Source organism: Homo sapiens, chromosome 1 (assembly GCF_000001405.40).
Source record: "Homo sapiens chromosome 1, GRCh38.p14 Primary Assembly".
NCBI classification, from domain to species: domain Eukaryota; kingdom Metazoa; phylum Chordata; class Mammalia; order Primates; family Hominidae; genus Homo; species Homo sapiens.
In genome coordinates, this window is record NC_000001.11 from 50,555,224 (window position 1) to 50,572,275 (window position 17,052).

General features: G+C 36.7%; 1 protein-coding gene across 5 annotated transcripts in view, besides 1 other annotated feature; it reads right to left on the reverse strand.

The window, feature by feature from the left end:
* FAF1 (Fas associated factor 1) overlaps positions 1-17,052 on the reverse strand; it is a 523,240-nt gene that overhangs the window by 118,196 nt on the left and 387,992 nt on the right. For all 5 annotated transcript variants that reach the window (NM_007051.3, XM_047442745.1, XM_047442743.1 and 2 more), the window contains one exon: positions 11,854-12,008. In NM_007051.3, the coding sequence (NP_008982.1) occupies positions 11,854-12,008 (155 nt within the window). The remainder of the gene's footprint in view (positions 1-11,853; positions 12,009-17,052) is intronic.
* Positions 13,651-15,394: an enhancer, noted in NCBI's record as "VISTA enhancer hs194". NCBI's record gives its function as "enhancer in: midbrain (mesencephalon)[7/9]" and the evidence as "EXISTENCE:transgenic organism evidence [ECO:0001131][PMID:17130149]".

Below are 17,052 nucleotides of genomic sequence, written 5' to 3' on the forward strand. Positions count from 1 at the left end.
CATACACACACACCAGGACCCTGACACACACACACACACACCCCAGGACTCTGACACACACACACACACACCCCCCAAAATAAAACCCAAAGCTTCTAAAAAGCTTCTGCATAGCAAAAGAATGGGAGAAAATACATCCGACAAAGGATTACTATCAAGAATCTACAAGGAACTCAAACAAATCAGCCAGAAAAAAACAAATAATCCCATTAAAAAGTGGGGAAACAACATGAACAGACATTTTTCAAAAGAAGATGTACAAATGGCCAACAAACATGAAATAATGCTCAATATCACTAATCATCAGGGAAATGCAAATTAAAACCACGAGATACCACCTTACACCAGTAAGAACAGCAGAACAGCCATTATTAAAAAGTCAAAAACTAATAGATGTTGACACAGATGCAGTAAAAAGGAACTCTTATACACTGTTGGTGGGAATGTAAATTAGTACAACCTCTATGAAAAACAGTATTCAGATTCCTCCAAGAACTAAAAGTAGATCTACCATTTGATTCAGCAATCCCACTACTGAGTACCCAAAGGAAAAAAAGTCATTATATCAAAAAGATACCTGCATGCATATGTTTATTGCAGCACAATTCACAATGGCAAAGATAGGGAATCAACTTCAAGTACCCATTAACCAATGAGTGGATAAAGAAAATGTGGTACGTATACATATATATATATAAAATTAGGTGTGTGTATATATACATGGTGTATATATATGGTATGTGTATATATTATATATATGGTGTGTATATATATGGTGTGTGTATATATAATAGAATACAACTCAGCTATAAAAAAGAATAAGGTCTTCAATGAAACCCCGTCTCCACTAAAAATACACAAAAAATTAGCTGGGCTTGGTGGCGGGCGCCTGTAGTCCCAGCTACTCGGGAGGCTGAGGCAGGAGACTGGCGTGAACCCAGGAGGCGGAGCTTGCAGTGAGCCAAGATCGCGCCACTGCACTCCAGCCTGGGCGAAAGAGCGAGACTCCATCTCCAAAAAAAAAAAAAAAAAAAAAAGAATAAGGTCTTCTGCAACAACCTGGATGAAACTGGAGGTCATCATGTTCTCACTTAGAAGTGGAAGCTAACTATGGTTATGCAGGGGCCTATAGAGAGGTATAAGGGACACTGAAGACTCAGAAGGGGGAAAATAGGAAGGAGGTAAGGAATGAAAAATTACCTATTGGGTACAATGTACACTACTTGAAAGACGGGTATGCTAAAAACTCAGATTTCACCACTATACAGTTCATCCATGTAACTAAAAACCACTTGTACCCCTAAATCTATTGAAATTTAAAAAGAAAATTGGCCAGGCAGAGTGGCTTATGCCTGTAATCCCAGCACTTTGGGAGGCTGAGGTGGACAGATTGCATGAGCTCAGGAATTTGAGACCAGCCTTGGCAACATGGTGAGACCCCGTGTCTACAAAAAGATACAAAAATTAGCTGGATGTAGTGGTGTGCACCTGTAGTCCCAGCTACTTGGGAGGCTGAGGTGGGAGGACTGCTTGAGCCTAGCAGGTTGAGGCTGCAGTAAGTTGAAACTGTGCCACTGCATTCCAGCCTGGGCACCAGAGCAAGACCCCTGTCTCAAACATAAAATAAAATAATATAAAATAAAATAAAATAAAATAAATAAAATAAAATAGAAAATCAGTTTTCTTTAAGAACAGCAACTGACACATTTTAATGTGTACAAGTCTGCTTCAAGAACTAACAAGTTAATACATAGCTTTCCTAATAGCCACATAATAAAATTTGTTGCTGAGACAGTAAATTATTTGAGAGCTGCTCAGAGAATCCAGTAGCTCATTTATTACTGGGACTAGGCTATGTAATTTCTCAGATTTGAGGTATGGCAATCAAGGCTTTTTAATTTTTCACATAACCTTGCCTCATTCCTTCCTTAGCTGAGGTGTGTAGAAAACTATTTGCTGAAAAGGACTTTCTTGGTGCTGATCATGTATTGAGGGGAAGAAAAGCACATGAAAGCAATCTATTTAGGATTCTTAAATTGTTGCTGTAGCTACAGACTGAGTTAGCCAACAGTAGATAAACTGTCAAACAGCTTTTAAAAAGTCTTTAGAGTTAACTCTGTTTTGAATAATACAAAACTATCTGTCACTCCTCTATTACCCTAATGCTATTAAGTAGAGAGACACAAACATATGCTTAAGGAAAGGACACCCAATCTATTCTTTAATAATTACCTGAACACATCAGAAACAGGATTCCACCTTACTCTCCAATTCCAGACTAACAGAAACTTTGCTTTTTTTGGTGGTATATTTGGCAGATTAGAACATTAAGATTGTTGGGCTTTAAAATATCTTTTAGCATCTATGCAGACTGACAAGCAAACACTGTAAAATATGTCAGAGGAACCAAATTACTTATATCACTGAACTAACATGTTTCTTTTATAATTTCTCTGACTGTTTTACTATCAGTGTTTATAGAAGAGGAGAAATGTGCTACCAATTTCAATGGCATAGGTGATATTATTTAGTAAAAGGTCTGCCGAAATATCATCAATATAAAAATTATTAATGAGAGCAGTTAAGGAAACAAATCTTTTCAGACCTTTTTAATTTCAGGCAAGAAGAAAAGCAAAATACACGATGGCATATATATATTTAAGATATTTCACTTTATAAATATCTTATTTATTTATTTATTTATTTAGATACAGGGTCTTGCTCTGTTGCCCAGGCTGGAGTGCAGTGGTGCAATCTCGGCTCACTGCAACCTCTGGCTCCTGGGCTCAAGCAGCCTCCCAAGTAGCTGGGACTACAGGCATGTGCCACCATGCCAGGCTAGTTTTTGTATTTTTAGTACAGACAGGGTTTCACTATGTTGGCCAGGCTGGTCTTGAACTCCTTGCCTTAAGTGATCCACCTGCCTCAGACTCCCAAAGCACTGGGGTTACAGGTGTGAGCCGCCGCATCCAGCCTAAATATCTTATTTTTAGAATAAGATATTTATCTTATTTTTAGAATAAGATATTTATCTTATTTTTGGAATGTGTCATTAGATTACTCATGTTTTATATCAATATAAAAACTGTATGTTCTAAAATACAAGCATAACCAGCTATTGGGAGTAACTATTTGCATATAACTATACATGAGTACACTGGTGGGGTCGGGGGACGGGTTACAGAATGGGGAAGGATTCAGCAACAGATCACAAACAGGGAAAGGTTTGGAATTAACCTCAAACTTCATCTTGAGACAGTGATGATTCTTTTAATTCTGTGACTCTCATAATCAAGATACCTAGAATATTCAAAAAATATTCAAAACACAGAGTAATTGGGAGATGACCAAGGAGAACACCAACAGACTTATAAGAAAGATCTAGTGCATGAGAAAAATAGAATGTGATAGAAACTTAAAATGTTATTCTTTTGGAATGGCTTGCCAATAATATCACCTTTGTATCTTAGCTTCTAACAACAGTTTTCATAGGCTATTTATTGACAACTGTATCTGAGTTAAATGCATATTTCCTGAATAGCATTAATTAGATTAGTGCAGAGGAAAATGAGCTCTTTTTTAAAAACAAATGCTTTGATTCAAATACGATGCATGTGCAACCAGGCAGTTATAACTGTAGTACTAGGTAGGAGTGTAGGAAGTATCCAAATCAGAGTAAAAAAGGCTCGTAAATTGGTAATTTTAAATTATCTCAAAGAACATTTTTAAAAGGATAATCTATTTTGGCCGGACGAGGAGGCTCATGCCTGTAATCCCAGCACTTTGAGAGGCCAATGCAGGTGGATCACCTGAGGTCAGGGGTTCGAGATCAGCCCGACCTACAAGGTGAAACCCCATCTCTACTAAAAATACAAAAATTAGCCAGGCATGGTGGCAAGCGCCTGTAGCCCCAGCTACTTGGGAGGCTAAGACAGGAGAATTGCTTGAACCCAGGAGGTGGAGTTTGCAGTGAGCCAAGATCACACCAATGCACTCCAGCCTAGGCAACAGAGCGAGACTCCGTCTCAAAAAAAAAAAAAAGGATAATCTGTTTTAAGAATGTTGAATGTACTATAAACAGTTTAGCCATCAACTATATAGAGACTGACTTATTCTCAATTGTAAGAGGCCATCACTTTTATCCATTCTCCCTTTCCTTTTTTCCTTTCAGTACTATTAGGAAACTATTCACAAGTGTACCCTTGGACAATGCTGAGCAGTAATTATGACTTGCTGACAAAGAGATATGAACAATTACTGAGCCCATTTTGAAACCCTACACTAATAAAGTCATTAGATGCTGCCCTTGCCATGATCCCTCTAAAAGCTTCTGAAGTTACAAGAACACACGGCATTGTTTGCAGGGACAATTGCTGCTGGCAGAACGCAAACCTTGAGTTAAACCATGCTGCAAATTGATCTTGACATTCTGTTAAGACCGCCACTAAAAATCAAAAGCAGAAGAGAAAAGGAGAAAATGAGTGGGTAGGATGTAATCATGGAACAGGAGGGGTTCCTCCTCACCTTCTCTCCTCCCTCTTCACAAAACAAACCAGGGAGAAAATGACAAACTCTCCTGGTGTTTTGGAACCTTCATTTTAAAGCATTAATTAAGCCCTTGACCTGGGATGTTTAGGATGGCAATACACTTCCTTTAAAAGTACTGGAAGGAAAATGTTGCATAAAGGGAATAAAGAAGTTTGGAGAAAATTATATGGAAATCTGGCACGAAGGCTCTCCTGAAGTCTTAGTACCCTGACCACAACATGTTCATCTGTTTTATCAGCTACCTCTGCAGAATCCATATTTGTACCTAGGGTAGCAGCTGGAAATTAATACTCCTGTGTCTCCCATGCAGACTCCACACCTGAGCTATATTTGCCAGATCAAATGGAAGTGTAGGGTTAGAGTAACATGGTCAGCAAGGCTTCAGCCAGGCATGAACCACTGAGTAGTTTGGAATTAAGGGTAAGCCACTGTGAATATGGCTAATTACTGAGATGGAAAGTACATGTGAAGACAGCTTACTGATAATAAGTGCTTTAAGTCAATTAACTCTTGCCAAAGATTAAGTAATGTGGAAAACTATCACTTGAATATTAAGCCTAACAAGTACCTGTCAGCACAGCAGCGGAAGTTTGCAGTGACCTGAAATACCACACCCAAGGGCATTAAGTTCAAAAGCTAATACTGACAGGCACAGAATTCTGTCTGTGAATATTGGTATTAAATGTGTGTACAAAATTTAATACAATGCTATGTGTATGTTACAAGCAACCTGTGTAACCCAAGCACTATTGGCAACTCCTGGGGAACTGTTTACAGCTACTATGAACACTGCTTAGAAATAGTGTGCAATGCCTGATTTAACACTTAGTAGCATGTACACTGATGTGCAAAACATTTTCATCTCAGGTACTTACATAAGCAATTCATTTTCCAGCACTCATAGCCAGCTGATTACCCAGTTGGCACTATTCCAGTCAAATTCAATGTTTGATTCTAAGTGTTCTAGAATTAGATAATCTAAACCAGCACCTATATTTGCTTTGTGGACCCTCCTATTCAGAACAAGAGATACCCACTAACCCACTTATTACTGGTTAATACTGGTGGTTCATTGTGTCACATATGTGATGTAGCTTTCCTTGATGAAGCAACTTCAGCTAAGAATCCACAGCTCAGCCTGGAGGGCACAGCCTTTATAGAGGGAAACAGATTAATACTTACTATGCTGGTGCTTTACATAGTACTATTTATGGTTAATTCTGATGGTGTTCTAATAGAACATGCCTGAATGCTTGGTCTCTTCCACCGTGTAGCCACTCTAGCACTCCGGGCCTGGGACATGTTGAATCAGTTCTCCCACCATTGTAGAAGGTTCAGTACCATCCCAGAATGGCCCAATTTGGGAGGCCAATTACTTCTGGGGTATCACAGAGGTTTGGTGAAGTCTGGGGAAGAAACTCTAGAACCAGGATGAACTCATCTGGGTTGGAATTCAAGCCACTTTCCAGATGGCCTGGGAGCACCTGAGGCATATGAGCGTACACCATGACATTCTGGGACCCTACAATGCCAGCAGAAGATCAAGTATCCAGTCTGAACATTTTTAGTTCATTCTGTAAGGAGAATGAAGGCTTTAGTACCATATATTAGTACCATTAGTGGCTACAGGGGAAGATCACACAATTAGAGGAATGTAGCTGTATTTCCAATATTCTTGCCATTACTCAAACTGGTACTCTCTTGCTATTTTTCAATAAGCCTATTAGAGATGATTTATTATCAATATAGTACTTACTCTTTAAAAGGTAGTTGTGGCCGGGCGCAGGGGCTCATGCCTGTAATCCCAGCACTTTGGGAGGCTGAGGCAGGTGGATCATGAGGTCAGGAGTTTTAGACCAGCCTGGCCAATATGGTGAAACCCCATCTCTACCAAAAATACAAAAATTAGCCAGGCGTGGTGGCACACACCTGTAGTTCCAGCTACTCGGGAGGCTGAGGCAGAAGAATCACTTGAACCTGGGAGGTGGAGGTTGCAGTGAGCTGGATTGCGCCACCGCACTCCAGCCTGGGTGACAGAGCGAGACGCCATCTAGGACAGACGGATGGACGGATGGACGGAAGGAAGGAAGGAAGGAAGGAAGGAAGGAAGGAAGGAAGGAAGGAAGTTGTGTAAACCAATGGGATTACAGACATAGCTCCCTCAGGGAGCTGACAACCTAGCAGGGAGATAGACAATGACCATACAATGTAATGAGTGCTATTAGTACAAGTTAGTACAGATATATTATGGGAGCATACAGAATATGCATTTTAACCCTGACTGAGGCAAGAGAAGGATGGGGAGAGGCAAGACTTCCCAGAAGTGATACCTGTCCTGAATTTTAAGAAATTATTCTTTCATAGCTAAGCACTCATTCATTAAGAATACATTGTACTAACAATATTTTTATTAGTTAAATCTATGATGGTTTTCTACATGTTACATATCCAAAAGAATATCTTATCCCTGCTTCACTGTCTGCCTGTAGACATATGCCAATGCTGGATGAATCATTAACAAAACATCTTCTTTGGATTTGTCCATGTTGGCTGGTTGACTTTAATTCTCAATCTGGTTCAGATTATAGAGGATTATATTAGCTAGCCAGCTCCCTCTATTCCTTCTCTCCTCAATTATTTCAACCACTGACCCTTTGTTCCCCATACGTAATTATGAGGCTTTAAACACCAATGCCCTTTAGTAAAGAAGAGCAAAATCTGCCACCCAAAAGACTAGGAATGCTACTATGGTAATATAAAAATCTCTAAATAGAAAGAGTAAAGTTCTAACTTCATCTTTATGTGTATCATCTCTTTCAAGTCCCTCTTTGACCCCCTTGGGTACAGCAACTCTGTATAAAGTTCATCTATACTCCTAAAGTACCTTGTACATACCTCATATTATATATTAGCTCTTATGTCTGTTTTGCCTACTAGACTATATGTGTTTTGAGGGTTAGGATTGTGTCTTGTTCCACCTTTCATTCTCAGATGACAGCACCATTCCTGGTTCATATTAAATATTCAGTGTTTACTCAATGAACAAACATAAGAAACACAGTTGGTCTTCTGCATCTGTGGGTTCTGCATCTGTGGGTTCTGCATCTGTTGATTCAACTAGCCAAGTATCAAAAATATTCAGAAAAAAATTGTGTCTATACTGAACATGTACACTTTTTCCTTGTCATTTTACCTAAACAATACAGTATAACAACTATTTACATAGCACTTACATTGTATTAGGTATTATAAGTAATCTAGAGACGACTCAAAGTAGATGGGAGGATGTGCATGGGTTATATGTAAATACTATGCCATTTTCTATCAGGGACTTGAGTATCTGTGGATTTTGGTATCTGCAGGAGGTCCTGGAACCAATCCTGCATAACTATGAAGTGATTTGCAAGATCTTCTTGTTTACTATTACCTATCTGTTTTTAGCTCTTTCTTTTACAGGTACATCCTACTATTTCCATCAGAACTACTGGTCAAACCAATATTTAAGAAATTAGAACGGGGCATGGTGTCACACACCTGTAGTCCCAGCTACTCAGAAGGCTGAGACAGGATGATTGCTTGAGGCCAGGAGTTTCAGGCTGCAGTGCACTATGATTACACACTCCAGCCAGGGCAACATAACGAGACCTTGTCTCTTAAAAAAAAAAAAAGAAATTATACCTTTAGCACTTCTCAAGACTACCAAGGGCTTCCTGTCACTGTTTTAAGAATGGCTCTGAAATCCAACTAGATAAGGTGGCCCAAAAGACTGTACAATATTTTCCAAGGAAAAAACCTCCAATTTAGATATGCAATATTGAAATTATAAGCAACATTCTTGGATGGAAATAAATGCATACATTCATTTGCTAAATGCTTTCTGGGTTTCTTTTTCCTAGAATTTAAAAAAGTGCCTTGTTTACTGAAACCAACAAAATGAATAAGCTCTTCAGGAGATCACAATTTAGCAGGGGAGATGACAGACATTAATCATTACAGCTAAAGTTTCATGTCTCAGTTCATATTTGGAATGTTCTAAGATCAACCTAAGAATTATTCCAACATATTTTGTACACAGTGGGCTGGAAAATCTAAGTATTCCACTAAGAAAGAAGGTTATTAGAATCATTTAAGAGGTGTAAAAATCCAAATCATCAACATCACAGGGGTTATGACATTCTATAGAAATGTTTCTTTTCTTATTCCAATTTGTTAGAGAAATTAGGAAATTTAATTTATAATAGCAAGTGATACTCATATTCTGGTGACTTCATCAAAGCATTCACTTAGTTTAATATCCTTCACTTATCTCCTACATACATGAGAGATCCACAGTATACTGTGATTGAAGAACTAATGCCTCTATAGGCTTAGTCAGAGTAATCCTTAAGCAAAAGTATATCTGCTTGGCAAGTCTCTTCCCATATTGGATATCAACATCCTCAGCTATAATATCAGATGGTAGTCCTAGGAAACCACTACAAAAACATCCAAATGGCTTACAGGTCCAGGACTCTCTAAATTTTTATGGCCTGTCTGAACTAGGTTAACCAGATATGGGACGAGGCAAGCTATTAACCAGGAATTTATTTCCAAACTTACATCTATCATAAAGAAATAACAGTTAAAAGGAAGCCCAAAACAACAATCTTACTTGTGATGCCTAGAAATCTCTTCTGTATTTCCATATATTAATATGTCCCCATTTCAGCTTGCTAATCATATGCAAATGATGTCATAACACCTTTTGACATGTACCCCATGGATCAATAAATATTAGTGCAAGCAGTCGTCTACTGAATTGAGAGTGAAAGCTTGAGGTTTTGTTACTCAAAGTTAAAAGCATCTAATGAGTGATGCAATCAGTTTTCATGATAAACACCTCTGGATAAATGTGGTGTAAAAATCCAAGAAAGATAATACAGTAGGAAACCCAATTAGACAATTTTATTTAGATGAATCTGTGATATGATAGGTGGCAAGAAAATTGTGGTTAAGTTAAACCCTTTTTTTAAGCAATAAACCAGCCTAATTAATTATCTTACAGTTTCATATGTCAAAGTCAATCCCCTTTTTGGGAATATGTCATTCTAATGAATTTTCACCTTGTGTTTATAAAATGTGTATTTTCCCATTTGCCTTAACAGTAGTAATGATGGATCAAAAGTAGCTATGTAATTTTATTTGTTTTTTTTTTATTACTTGCTTTTTAATTTTTTGACATTTTAAAAAAACTTTTATGTTTGGAGGGTACATGTGAAGGTTTGTTACATAGGTAAATTGGTGTCATGGGTGTTTGTTTTACAGATTGTTTCATCAACCAGGTATTAAACTCAGTACCCAGTAATTATCTTTTGTTACTTTAATATAGAGAAATATAACACCTTTTAAATTTGTAATATGGACAGAACTATTAATAGATTTTGAATAAGGATGCCAAGTATCTTAAATTATAGAAATAATTCCATTCCCCTATTGCCCCATTTGTGGTTCCTATAAATGTTTATTAAATTGAATTCCTAGATGTTCCTATTTTCAGTCTTTAATATTACCTTTTACAAATTTTCATGACAGTTGCTTAATTCAAAATGTAGATTGAAATATCCTATCATACTTAATAGTCAGTCCTGCAGTTCATTGAGAAATAGCTCTAAAGCCTTAAACAACACCTTTATTTAGTGTTTTTAAAAAAGTGTCATAAGGAGTTAATAGGACACAGCTGTACTGGCTCTTTCTAATAAGCAGCTTCTGTCGCTTTGGTCACCACAGGTGTCTCTGTAACCTGCAAACTCTTATTACTAGTGTATCAAAGTTGTGCTACTTAACAGACTTCTTTAGTAAAACATAACAAAGCAATTACATGGCTGTTGATTGCCATCATAAAAAAAAGAAACCCTCAAACACTGTTTTTCAAAAGAAACTACACTGCAATTTTTTGTCATTGTAAAATAAAAGGAACTAAGGAATTAAATGGAGGATAGAACAAAATAACAGCAGGTAGCCCACTGAACTTAGCCACTACAGATGGTTTAGAAATAGTGTTTCCTTCTCCATCAAGTTGTGGATAAAAGGAAAGGAGGAGATTCCTTACTGCCAGTGAATGGCAAAAGATTTAGCCAAGTCTCCAGTCTCTGTATTTTGCCTCATGAAAGACCTTCGATGTGGCATTTTTATCTGTTTTTGGCACTGCTTTTCATCACCTTTAACTGAGTGTGAATAATAACCTGATTTAATTTAAACAAATACAGGTGCTAAAGATTCTTTATTTATGTATAACAGGGAATATTTCCAAGGCAAAACGAAGTCATCTCATGAAATTTCCTAACCATTTGCTTAAAGAAATGAAGTATTAGATTATGAAATAGCTTCAACATTATTTTGCCTCACATTTAAGGAAAGAATCATGTTCTTTTCTGATTCAGATTAAATAAAACAAAGTCTGAATGATGACCAAAAATTCAGTGAGCCATAAAATAACAAAAAGACAAATCAGATGGTTTCTAATTGTTCTATAATCGTTTAAATTAGGTGACTAAAATATGCTTGCCTTGAAATGAATTAATTTAATCTCCCTGTTCATGAACCAGCAGCCTGTGATTATGATTGTGTTAACACACCCAAAGTAGCATCATGGGATGTTACGGCCACATGTGTAATTAAACATGATGAAATATATTTCAGATGGGAAACTGAAATAGGCAAAATATGAAGAAGTGTTAATCACTTGAAGATACTATGATTAACAAACTAAGTAAACTCATCCTGACAACTAGGAAAGGAATTTTTTTTTCCCTATTGAGAATATGGATGTATTGTTGGCTGTGTGCAAAAGAATGTGTGCAATAAAGCGATTACATCAATTAGCATATGCTAGAGTTAAGCTATTACCAACTCCACTGGACTTGTGCAGAAAGTCCTGCCTTCTTCACTGAAGTTATTAAAAAATAAACTTACTACTAGGATTATATATTAGACTTGTTTTGCCTTTTCTGAACATCATTAAAAACATCAGGTTTCTCTAAAAGTTCAAAAACATATTAGAAATGTCTGTTGCACTGCAAATATAAGATGAGAAATGTATTTTTGTTTTCAGGTTATTCTTGAATTTAAAAAGTTTTTATAAGTTAAGGTACATTTTCACAATTGCAAATAACTGCATGTGTTAGCTGCAACGAGCAGCTTTTGTCTAATGAAATGCAATGGTAGAGAGTTTAATGCTGAGGATGAAAAATGTTTATGATGATGATAAACACAATGATTTTTTTTTTAATAGAAGCCCAACTTGTAACTTGTGAACAACAGTATTACCTTGCTCTGTTGGAGTCCTTTGTCAGATCCCAAGCCCAGGTTATAAAATTTTGACTCAGATAAGAAACAATGGATTCAGCACAAAGCATTTGTGAGCAGAACACGTTGGTTAACACACTTTCATCATGGTGGAGGTAGATAGCAAGAAGCTTTCTCTGAAAAGAGGAGAAAAATCTGATCAATTAAAATATCCACTAATGTAAGATTTCTTAAATTTTAGAGAGGCATAATTAGTCTATATGAACAGCAAAGACAAAAATTAAATGCTATTCCCTAAGAGAGTACTTTACATTTTGGAGTTCCTAAAGCATCTAAAATATCAAAAAATTTTACTTTCTTACACTTTAAAAAGGCTGGGATGATTATATCTAATTCTGCAGACTGCTATTGCAGATTTCTGTTGACATGTGCAAGCCTATCTCAAATGAAGTTGCAAAGGAATTGTATTTTGCTTAAAGGAAATGGATTTACTATTCTTTTCATTTAATAGATATATGTAAAGAGAAATATTAACTTTGAACTGTTCAACAATACAGAGAAAAAATATTCTTTAAAACAGAATGACAAAATTCCTCTTACATATTTTTTATGGTTTTAATCTGAACAATGGATAGTCTCTTCCATTTGAAAGGAAAAGGTCTGAAATCAAGTTTTCTTTTTGTTCTATAGATAATTTTAAAGTCCTTAATGTATTCTCATATTAAGCCCTTATTTATCAGCATGTGACATGTAATTGACATTTGAAGAGATAGAAAAATATTCAGTTCACATGCATTCTTTCTAGTTTATATTTCAGAAAATGTCCACTGTGGCTCTTCATATAGAAAATTATTCTTTCCCTTTTGCCATAATAAAAGTTGCTTTCAATAAATGACACTTGGTCTCTTAAATGTGTCTTCTGTCATAGTTGGATACTCAATGCAATAATTAAAACTAAAAACTGAAACTGAACAAGGTAATAGGTATAATAAAAACAATGGCTATAAGTAGCCATTGATGGTTTGCAACATGTTAGCTTTACCAACAATGACTATAATGATTAAAGAGCTTAAATTGTTGACTAACTTCTTGGTACTACCTCAAAGAAGAGCTGAGTTTAACAATACTCACAATTACCAGGGAAAGGAAAGATGAAATTTTATGGTAAAGACAACATACAAACCAATCTTTGAAATTCTGTCAAAGGAAAATTTCAAGGAAGCTTAGTATCTTTCCCTTCAAGTTAAATAAGAATGTGATGACAGCAAATGAAAATTTGCTGTGTGGGATTCTGAACAAAAGAAGGAAACTTACAGAAAAATATAAGGCTCATGCTGATGAAAGGCTAATGAAATCTGATGTTAGGAATTATCTAGATAAAGAATCCAAATAATAGTAATAGTAATCATCATTAAAATTGTTTTCTTCAAAGGTAAATTTCGTAATAGATGAGGGTAGCCACAGTTAGGTAGATTAAGATTCTAAAAGCATCTACTATGAATAGGAGACACTGTTACTTTCACAACCATTATCTACTTTAATTTCCAGAATAAATCTTTAAAATAGCATCCTTAACCCCATTAGCATATGAGGAAACTGAGGTTTAGAAAGCGGACTTGTCCCAAATGTCACAGATAGTTAGTAACTAATACAACGAGGATTGGCTCTCAGATTGTCTAACTCCAAGTCCAAGTAAGTGTTTTTTCTCTGATACTACAGTGGTAGCAGGGAAATCAACCACACTGTAGTCAAGGCTTATGGAAGCACTCATATAACATGAAGATGCCAGACTGCTTTGGGCTGAGACTCAGAGACAGCTTGTAATGGGAATAAGGGCAGGACTCCTGGGTATAAGTAGCTCAGCTGATCCCACCCTGCTTCTATGTGTTAATTCATTTATTCATTCATTCAACAAGCATTTGTTGAAATGCTCTTTGTGTCAGGCTCAGCAGGAAGCAGTGGCAATAAAATGGTGAACAAGAAAGACTCGGGGTTTCTTCATCTATGTTGATGTCTGCAGAGAACAGTATCAGCCTTCTAGGAAGTTTGTAATCAGATACATTGTTAGAGAGATACTTATCTAGTAAATTCCTACTCATCCTATAAGGCTCAAAACAAATGCCTCTATGAAACCTTCCGTGATTCCCTCAGGCAGAGTTAAGAGCTTCCTTTCCTGGGCCTCTATCTCCTTCCATTAGTATTATAACTGTTTACCAGTTTCCCCTCTAGACTAAATTTCTCAAAAGAGAGAATGAGGTCTCTTTCAGTCTTCTTTGCATCTTTAAACTAGCCTGGGTCCCAGCCTGTTTGATGAAAGAAACAAGAACACTGATACAAGCCACAGCCCCTTGGCAAAAAAGATACCCAATAGCAATGGCAATGTAAAATCAGTTTTAGTAAATGAATCAAGAATTCTGATGCTTTAGGGAAAGTAATGTGAACCTGGCACCATTAACAAATTCAGAACTCTTCTTCTTAGGAGCTCTCTAACTGAACAGACAGAGGGATGTCAACCCCTAATTCAGCTTGATCGTATCTCAGCAACTACATTTAATGAGACAGTGGGAAAAAGAGAGCTGTCCACTTTTAAATCAGCATATTTCTAACTAAACAATGGCAATGGCTAAATCTTTAAAATGCCTATTTCTCTCAAGAACACTGCAATGGAACATTTAGACTTTGGGAAAGAGATTAGTGATTTACATTGCTATCTCACTGATTTAATTTAAATGCTCTTCCAAACCAAACACACATGTGCCGAAGAGGCTACTAAGAAACCCAACATGCAGAGTTCTCTATAAGTGCAGCCGACAGTGTTGACTGAAACTAAACTTGGAAATCCAGGGCACTAATGCACAATATCAAGCAATAAAACGGCATCTCTTTGGCAATATTTAATTTAAAAAAGAAGAAAGAGACAGGCGAAGATCAGGCACTGTCTGTTTTGGAGGATCAACCATTCTGCATTTCAAAGCATTGGTCCCTGCAATATCCAGGTTACTGTGCTAGAATCTCGACTATTATATCGCAGTTGTGAGAGGGAGGGCAAAGATGTGTTTACTCAGTGATTAGGCCCTTAGAATAAGCCTCTAGCTCCTAGAGAGACAGCTCACCACTTATTCATTTGGGCCAATTCACAAAGCCTAGGAAGATTAAACATCCATGCTGAGAAGACAAGCGAATGCAGACGGTGAAAAAGAAATAAAAATTCTTTAAAAACTCTGAGATGACTTCATTATTTTTCCACAAGGAAACTTTAGGAAAGTGTTTAGTTAGAGAAAAACCCACATTGACCTCTCTCTAAACCCTTAATCTTTCCTTTGTGGTGGCACTGCTTTGTGGTAAGCGACTGGCTCGCCTCGCCCCTCTTTTCACTGGAAGCTGAGAGAAAAAAGACTCTGGAGAAACAGTTTTCGTTCCAGGGACACAAACCCCTGACACTGTTAAACATGAGATGCCAGGAAAACACACTTAAAAAAAAAATTCCCACTTTAAGCTTTAGACTGAATGTGAGAAAGGAGATGATAAAAAGAGTATCACAAGAGAATCTTCAGGCTGTGGGTACCCCAAAGTAGCTTTCAAAAGGAAAACTAATAATTTTAAAATAATCTTTTCTCTGACATAAGCTTTCAACAAAAAATTTTCTGCTGCTTTTATAACAATAAATAAGCAAAATATAAAGACTCAATAGTATGGAAGTGCTAGTAAATTTAGGCTATATAAATCTGATTAAATTACAGTCACAGATAAATGGACTCCAGACTCAGATTTCTGATTATCTTACTGAGCTCAATTAAGCACAGGCCAAAAGAGTGAGAACTGGATTAAGCATATCAACCAATTTGGAAGAGTTGAAATGGCAAACTAATCAGAAAACTGCTTTCGTGAAGAAAGCAGTACCACAGAAAACGAGTAAGAAAATGTTTTGATTTCTATTACTATAACCAGTTTTTCCTTTGGCCCATTTAATAATTTAGTTCAATAACATTTGAAGAGTACCTATGTATTAGCGATTGAGACTATAAAGATGAATGAAACAGTTTCCTTACCCTCAAAAAGTTGTGGGAAAGAATGTGCGGAGGCAAACGTTTAATTGTATACCATCTAACAAATGATAATATTGGGGCATTAAAAAGAATATATTTTATTTGTCCTTTCTAATTTGGCAGAGAGGGTCTAAGTCTGGCAGACCACAAAGGCAAACAACCAAGCTACATTCTCCTGATTCCCTCTCTGTAATCTAAGTTTTAGTAACACAGTGCAAAAGGAAGTCTCCAAGCTTTAAAGTAACAGAGAGCTCTGTTCTAAATCCAGTTCTGCCATTTAGCAGCTGTGTGACCATGGGGCAAATGGGTTGTTGTAAGCATCGCAGATAATGTAGGTTAAGTACCTATTTACAAGGCCTGGCCCATAGTAGGTGCTGAATGAAAGGTAGCTGTTAGGATGAAGATTCCTGAACTATCCATGCAAAATAAAGGGTTTTGAAAGCAATTTCAAGAGAAATAATGGCCATGAAAATGTATTAAAGATTAAGCAGCTCCTTCATTTTTCCTACTGGCAATAGTGTCTGGGATGCTTATTGTGTCTCTGAGTTCGGTGCCTCACTAATCTTCACATTCAAATCCAGGAGCTAAGGTACTAAGTTGATGCTTAAGAAATGCCCAGCTGACAGCAACCAATGTGACTTGGCCTTGAGCTACAGTAGCTATTGTATTTAGACTCTTAGTGTCACAGAACCATAGAATATTAGAGCTGGAAGAAATGTGCTGTGTCTCAAAATAAGCCAGGCAGAGAGCAGATACTAAGGAAATATTTGCTGATGAACTAAAAAGAAAGGGTTGTATTTTGAGTACCAGAATATCCATAATCTGCATGTTCAATGCTTTTAAAGTTGATATGACAATTTCTGGGAATGGTACAATGTAGTTCATAGTTTTTTTCAGTGTTAAAACTATAGTATAAAATAATTTCCTTGTGTAAATTGGACCTGACTTGCTTTCTCTCCTTCCCATTTCTGTTCTCCTTTTCCCTCATCATTATCATCAGTAATCAGAATCATTATCACTATCACTTTTTAAGTTTGGAGATGGCTCATTGATACAAACAATGGATACAATGATACAATAAACACCTATTTATTCTTCACCTAGATTTACCAATCATTAGCATTTTGCCATATTTGCTTTATCATTCTTTTAATACTTCCCTGAAACATCTGAA